We start from the raw sequence: 7,988 nt of genomic DNA on the forward strand, positions 1-7,988 counted from the left end.
CTTTTTTCTTTCCTCATATTTGAGTGACTGAATAGCTGGATATAAAATTTTGTTTTTTTTTCTTGTAAAGTCACAAGGTATTTTTCTCTAGTCTTCTCACTTCCTGTATTGCTGCTGAGACAACTGATTCATATTGTTTCTTTATATTTTCTGCAGCTGTGTCCCAGTCCCCAATGTGACTGCCAGGGTCCCCATCAGATCTCCTCGTCTCTGTTGACAGCTCACAGTCCTGTGCCTTACTGAGGTTCCCCTTTCCTCTGCAGTGTTGGGCACTGGGTTGGCATTTTCAAACTGGAGATGCCTTACAGAACATTTTAATAACTTTTTCTGGCGTTATGTATCTAATTATTTTCTCCCCCTCTATTTTTTCTATTCTCTTTTCTAAAATTACTTTAGTCGAATTTTAGATTTCACAGATTGATCCTTATATTTTTCATTTTTTAAATTACTTTTCCATTTGCTTTTATTTTTTGTTTAATATTGTTTTGAGATAGTTTTAAACTTTCTCATTTAATCTTTGTGTATGTGTGTGTGTCTGTGTGTAGAGAAACAGATATACACATATACATATATGCATATATAAATCCAGTTATTATATTTTTATTTTGCAAGAGCTCACTATTAATCTCTAATAATCCTTTTATATAACTTCTTCCTGTTCTTGTTTTACAAATGTAATATTTTCCCTTATTTCCTTGGAAATATTAATTATAATATGATTACATTGAAGTTTCTGCTGTGCAATGTCTCCGGTTTGCTTATATTTTTATTTGTTTAATGATCTGTGTTTATTTTTATGTTAGAGGTCAAATAACTGGTGGTCCTCAGCTGTTTGCTTTTAAGAGCTAACCACTAAACATTTGGTTGGCTGGAGTTGTCACTGGGTGGCCCTCAGTGTAAGGTGACCAAGTGGTGAGCCACACTTCAATGAGAGCATGCTCCATGGCAGTGTTCGGAGGTGTTTCTTCAGGAACATTCCGGTTTTCCAGAGACTCTTCCAGTTCCCTCCCCTGGCCATTATCTCCCTGGATGCAAGTGTTTGGGAAGCAGGACAAGCAACCGGGCACGGAGTCCCCACGTGTGAGCGTGACTGTCCTGTTTGCAGCCACCTGCTTCTGCACGTGCCATCCACTGTCAGTCAGTGGCCCCTGACCCAAAGCCTCTCGAAGACAATTTTTCTAGGAAAGAAGCCATGGTCAGCAGGACCATGGCCCTCCAAAGCTGTCTGTATTCTCATCTCCAGATACTGTGACTATATGACCTTGGAGAGCAAAACGGACATGGCTGATATGAATAAATGAGGGATTGTGAGAAAGGGACATTATTCCAGATTCTTCCGGTGGCCCCAGTGTAACCACTAGAATCTTTATAAAGAGGAAGGCAGGCGTGTCAGTGACGTAGCCAGGGAATCAGAGGCCAGCGCGGTACGATTGCTGTGCTGAGGATGGAGGAAGGGGCCAGGAGCTGAGGAACGCGGCAGTCTCCGCTGGCTGGAAAGGTGGGAAAGAGACCCTGTCCTGGAGCTCCAGGAGGAAGCAGCCCTGCCCACACCTTGATGGTGGTCCCCCAGACTCACCTGGACTTCTGACTTCCAGACATGGCGCATGTGGAGATTTGTGAGGCAGCGCTGGGAGATGGATGCACACTCCTTCTGCCTGGTGTGACAAGTGCATGCGGGGCTGTTTCAGCTGTGAAGGTGAGCCACGGGGGCAGCTGATGCTCCCTGCAATTACGCTGCAATCTTTCTCCACCCTGCTCCTTACACACCCTCTCTTTTCTGTGGCAAAAGCTCCAAGCCTCCCAGAGACGCTGTGGTTAAGTTAGTGAGCTTCTCATTGCTGTTCCTCCTCTGAGCGCATAGCTTACCCCTCTCAGGTAACTCTCTCACTTTCCCATCTGTCACCAACTGACTCCTGATAGTTTGTTGAAGTTGGTCTCTAGGATCTCCTCCCACTTTTTGCCAGATTTCCAGCCTTGAGCCTCCCACATGGCCCCTTGCACGAGGGGCAAAGGAGGAGCTTGCAAACGCCAGATGGAGGCATTTAATTGCCACACAGTGCTCCTGAGAAAGAGCCACTGCCCTTGCTTGCAGCCTGTGGCCACATTTGAGGTGGGACTGTCATCAGCCGAGTCCTGGAGTGCAGGGACATAGGACAGAGGCCGCAGCAGCCCCGATGACACGGCATCCAGGAGGAATCGCGTTCACTGCCTCGAGCCACTATGATTTCCAGGGCTTTTTGCAACCATAGCCTGTCCCATATTTTCCTGACTGATGCAGAAATTGATACTAAAAATGGGTCCTGCCACGGCAAGAACCCAGGGTGCTCAAACCAGAAGTAAGGAGCCTGGTGAGGGTGTGTGTGGAAACTGAGGGGTGCATCTTCCAAGGAGGGGCCTCAGCCTTCCTGAGTCCAGGGGCAGAGGAGAGCCTCAGGGCCCTCTTCAACTCTGTGTCTTCTCTTCGTTCTTATAGATTAGTGACTTTTTGTTTATCTGTCACTGTGATTTTAGTGTATACTGCAAGAATGGGTAGATATGGGTATTCAGTTTAGCATGTGATATGGTTTGGATCTGTGTCCCCACCCAATCTCATGTTGAACTGTAATGCCCAGTGCTGGAGGTGGGGGCCGGTGGGAGGTGACTGGACCCTGGGGAGAAGTTCTCATGAAAGGGTAGCACCATCTCATGTCAATCTGTAATACCCAGTGCTGGAGGTGGGGGCGATGGGAAGTGACCACTAGAATCTTTATAAAGAGGAAGGCAGAAGGGGAGAAGTTCTCACGAAGGGGCGGCAACATCTGCCTTGGTGCTGTTCTCGTGATGGTGAGTGAGTGAGTTATCATTCTGATCTGGTTGTTTAAAAGTGTGTGGCACCTCCCCCACCCCTCCTCTACCTTTTTCTTGCTCCTTCTTTTGCCACGTAAGACACACCTGCTCCGCCTTCACCTTCCACCATGATTGAGAGTTTCCTGAGGCCTCACAGAAGCTGAGCATAGGCCAGCGCCATGCTTCCTGTACAGCCTGCGGAACTGTGAGCCAATTAAACCTGATTTCTTTATAAATCACCCAGCCTCAGGTGTTTCTTCACAGCAGTGTGAGAACGGACGAGAACGCCATGTTTAAGCGGAAATTATCAAGGAATTACTGCTTCCGGGAGAGAAGCAGTAGGACTGGGCACTGGCAGCCACTTTGGGGGACTGGTGACGAGGCAGCGTGGGGCTGCAGGGAGGACACATTCCCCAGCTGGAGCCTCATGATGGTCAGGGTGAGTTCGCAGGGCCACTGTCACCAAGGCAAGGTGAGCCCACAACATGCCTGGCAGCCCGGGCACTCTCCTGCATCTGGCACCGTCCGCCAACACAGCAGTGGGACGTCTGGGAAGGAACAGAGGCTGGAGCGAGAGAGCATGGCAGACCTATCAGTAAACCCTCTCAGGGCCACTCTTTGGTCCTTCTAGAAGGATCCAGAGAAGGAATGTGTGTGTGTGTGTGTGTTGCAGAAAAATGAAGGGCCTCCAGGCACAGGTGAGGATTAAATCTACACCTTTATAGCATTAAAATCTGTGCAATGTATCAGTAAGCACACATTCAAAAAATTATGACATTGGGTTTACACAAAATTCACTATTACTGTATTATGAATACTGATCTTTTATTATATTTTCTATTCACTAAGATATTTGTTCAAAGTATACTGTACAAACATTCTGAAAAGTGATATTTGGTGTATTTTAGGGAGAATTCTAAACCATGTTCTCATTATTCTGATGGATATTTCTTGTGGCCAGTTCACTGGAGACAGTGTCCTTTGTACACATTTACAAAGCTTTTAAGAAGTACAATTGTGCAAAGATACGCCAAAACTTTTACTTTTCTGACAATAAAATAAAGATTTTGTATTGCAATTATTGGTCAAAATAGTAAAATGTGGTTGTTCACCATTGAGTCAAGGACAGGAGTTGGACTAAGAGGCACGATGGCACCAAATAAAGAGATTTGCCACGTGGAATTTGTGAAAGAAAATTATGTTTAATATACCAACTAAATAGCAATATAACATTAACTTTATGAGAGTACACTTATGTGCCATATTCCATATTAACACCCCAGGTAGGTACTTAGCATAGTATGCTGTTGTATGAACATGACACTGATTCGAAGGCAATTCATGTGTCTGTGTTAGCTCCGCGTCCAGTGCTGATGGGAGCCAGACAGCAGCCTGCTTGTCTCTGCGTGGCCCAGCCTTTGCAGTGTGAGCTGCAGCCAGGGTTCTCACACAACAGAGTGCTTTGTGGACACAGCTTGGGATTTTTTGTTGTTTTTTTTTTTTTTTGCTTCCTATGCTGTCCAGCTTCTGGTAGCCTGGCTGAAACCATAAATATTCCATTTGAGAAGCCTCTTTCAAAACCTGCAAATGTTAAATGTTTAATTCCAAAACCTTCCACAAGGCTCTGAAAGGTGTTTCTGGGCACCGTGCCGCATCCTGTGAAGGACCCTCCCCTCCAGAGGTCCCTGTTCTGACCTGTTGCTGGTGGCACTGCAAGGCAGGCCTTTCCTGCTGCTTCCATTTCAAGGGTATGATGACAGTTTTCCAAGTTCTGAGTGTCCGAGGTCACCCGGGAGGCTGCCCGACACCGTGGCCTAGCCTTGACCAGGCTCTTACGGTCAGCCCTGCTGATATCACGTCAATTCAGCTAGGATCAATAAGCGTTCAGGTATCTTGCACCACGACTGGCCTCTGCAGCGGATGTCAGGAATTCCTGGACGAAGGGACCTGTCCTCACTTGTGGGAACCTTGCGTTTCAGTGAAGGGTTCTGCAGCCGTGAAGTTAGAAGTGGGCTTCACATGAGCTGGAACAGTTCATTATTTTCTAGGCAGAAAAAAATGCCTTGGAGGAAAAGAAAAACATGTATTTATTAGGCAACTACTGTGTACCGGGAACTTCATATCTACTTTAATTTAATCCTCTAAACATCATATAAGGGTTTCCTTATCTTCACTTTTGGTCAAATAACCAGTCCAAGGAGAGGAGGCTCAGTCCTAGCCCTGCTCCTCCCAAGGCTTTGCTCCTCCCACTGAACCTGCAGGATCCATTTCATAACCCTTTTGTCCATGTTTGACCACCAGAGCAGATATTTCTAGAAAGAAGATTAGGAAAGTTGCTGAATTAATGCACAGAACAATGTCCCAGATGTTGTTAACTGAAGTATAAATTTTCCTTAGTTCTTTTTGTTTGTTTTTCAGTTATTTGTCACTGTGTGCAAAAGGCAGGTGAGTATAGCTGCCTCTGTTTTTCCCTCATGGGGGTACTTCCTCTCTGCTTCCCGTAAACGTGGGCACCATCGCAGTGTAGCTTGTGGGGGTAAGGACATGACTTTCTCAGTGCGTAGCGGGACTGTAGTGCTGGCTCTTAACAGACGCCTCCAGCACATGGACAGTCTTGGTAGAAAAATAAGCTGCCTAGTGGGTTCACTCTCTGACCCACAGCCTCACTTCCCCTTCCAAAATTAAATGGCCTCTTTAAAACTAGAAAATCGTTGCAACCTTTAGACTAAGAGATGGAATCAATATGGCCAGTGATTCCTTTTTTTTTGAGACAGAGTCTTGCTCTGTCACCCAGGCTGGAGTGCAGTGGTATAATCTCGGCTCACTACAACCTCCGCCTACTTGGTTCAAGTGATTCTCCTGCCTCAGCCTCCCGAGAAGCTGGTACTACAGGCACCTGCCACTGCGCTCAGCTAACTTGTTGTATTTTTGGTAGAGATGGGTTTTCACCATGCTGGCCAGGCTGGTCTTGAACTCTTGACCTCGGGCAATCCGCCTGCCTTGGCCTCCAAAAGCCAGTGATTCTTAACCTTGGGGGTGCGTCAGACCCAGTGACGTGCGTGTTAGAAATACATATGCCTGTCTCTTATCCCTCAGGGATTCTGGTTCTATTTTGGAGGTAGGAACTGGGCAGCTATGTTTTTATAAAATGCCCCATCATCATTTTAATGGTCTCCAAGTTAGAGGAATATTGGTCCACATGGACAGCCAGGTTCTGGGTTCTCTCTGCTCCTCAGCACCACTGCCGAGGTGAACTTAGAGTCCACAGTTGACACCTCAATGACTCTAGGCCCTGACTCCACTGGGCTATGTCAGAGGTGTAGATGTACACTGAATAGCTGTGTGCACATTTAGCAAGGAGGTTGCCCATGCCTCTTGATCTCTTTCTTGATTTCAAAAGCCTTGCATCAGTTTTCCTCTGAAATTGTTGTTGCTGTGTCCACGTGGGGGACAGCCCTGAGGCGTGGGGCATGCTGTGGGCATCCTCCCTTGCCCCGTGAAGCCACACCCATTCATCTTGGCATCCAGTGTTGTGAAACACACACACGTGCATTATGTAATTGATACAGTGAGTGTGAGTTCACCCTATTTTTTTCGTGGAATACAGTAAATCACGGTGTGCTATGCTTCATTCAAAACACCCAGGTCCAACCTCCCACACCTTCAGGCTTTATGAGCCCGCCACTCAATTCTGTCCCCAGCCCTCTGTGCCTTTGTTCTTAGGAGGGCTCAGTGGTTGGTTGTTTTAGAAGAACAGAGTGGATCACCAGAGGAGACAGGTGAGCTTCTTTCATGCCCTAGTGCCCAGCTCGGTTTGGTAAGCGGTTCTTGTGACACACGTATTTTTCTACCCAACACCTCTACACAATATTCAAAATGGTGATTGTGCTGGAGAAGGGAGTGGCTCCTGAATGACTCATGGCCGCTTGCTGTCATCGCTGCCTTTCCCACGTGTAGCCTCTGAGGAGTCCTGCAGAGTCCTAGGAACCTGTTTGTTCCCACGGTATTATCCTCAGCATCACAACACATCGTGCAGACAGACGACGTCACCACAGCTGGCTTTGAAACCCCCTCCCGAGGCCCTGCTGCCACTGCCCCAGCTCCTCTGGACTTTTTCTTCTGGATTTCTCCCTGGAGCTGCTGCATCCACCACGCCCAGGCCCTGGCAGGTGTCCTAATATCACAGATGATTCTGTCACGTGCTTCTTGGAGCAGGATCTGTGCTTCTCATGTAAGGCTGTGCTTCGAATCCCCCGAAACTTAATGGCTTACAATCCTAAGAGTATTCTGTCATCTCACACATTTTCTCCAGGTAAGGAATTTGGATGTGGTTTGGCTGGGGATTCAGGCTCAGGTTCTCTCTGGAGACTGCAGTGAGATACAGGCTGGGGCTGCCATCATCCGAAGGTGGGACTGTGGTTGTGGAGGCACGGCCAGGCCGGTTCATGCAACCTCACACACAAGTCCATCTGCTCACTCCCACCGCTTCATGGGCTACTGAAGTGTCCTTCTGACATGTAGCCAGTTCCCTGAAGAAAGAGTGATTCAAAACATGGAGGTGGAAACTGCAATGACATTGGTGACCTCACCGTAAAACACACATACCTCTACTTTGTCCTCCCCACATAGGTGGGAGCAACAAAAGCGAATGAATCCAGGGATGCAGGGTCATGGGGCCATCAAGGATGCTAAATCCACCATGCCTTCACTCATGCAAGTGGAAACCCAAGATCTACCAAGACCTTGGGCTCCTCTCTGTCCTCCTGGTTCCCTTTTCTTCAGTTACATGCCCCCACCCCCTTCATGAAAAGCAGACCCTCCTATTCAGAGCCTTCGACTTGTTCTTCTCTGTCATCTCTTTCACCCTCAGGTAACTGGGATGACTACTCCTCCACTCAGGCGAGGTCCTCATTCAAATGCCACCTTCTGGGGCAGGCCTTCCTGGATCCAGGCTTGAAGTCACAGCGTCACCCCCATCTCCATTGCTCCTCTTTTCATCATCAGGAAGGATACATTGAAGCATTTCCTGCTTTAACTTCCTCTTTAGCACCCATCACCCGGGGCTTTCCACACCCACCATGGCCAGTTCCCTTCAAGCCCTCAGAGTGATGTCACCAAATTCCATGCTGGGAGGAAACGCCTGCAGCTGGCTCTTCTGGGCA

At 47.6% G+C, this 7,988-nt stretch overlaps 1 annotated feature.

Moving 5' to 3' along the window:
• Window positions 6,290–7,489: an enhancer, noted in NCBI's record as "BRD4-independent group 4 enhancer chr6:169194256-169195455 (GRCh37/hg19 assembly coordinates)". NCBI's record gives its function as "activates an origin of replication core promoter dependent on BRD2, P300/CBP, MED14 and CDK7 cofactors, and independent of BRD4, by STARR-seq in HCT116 cells {active_cell/tissue: HCT116}" and the evidence as "EXISTENCE:reporter gene assay evidence [ECO:0000049][PMID:35650434]".

This window comes from Homo sapiens, chromosome 6, assembly GCF_000001405.40.
Source record: "Homo sapiens chromosome 6, GRCh38.p14 Primary Assembly".
NCBI classification, from domain to species: Eukaryota; Metazoa; Chordata; class Mammalia; order Primates; family Hominidae; genus Homo; species Homo sapiens.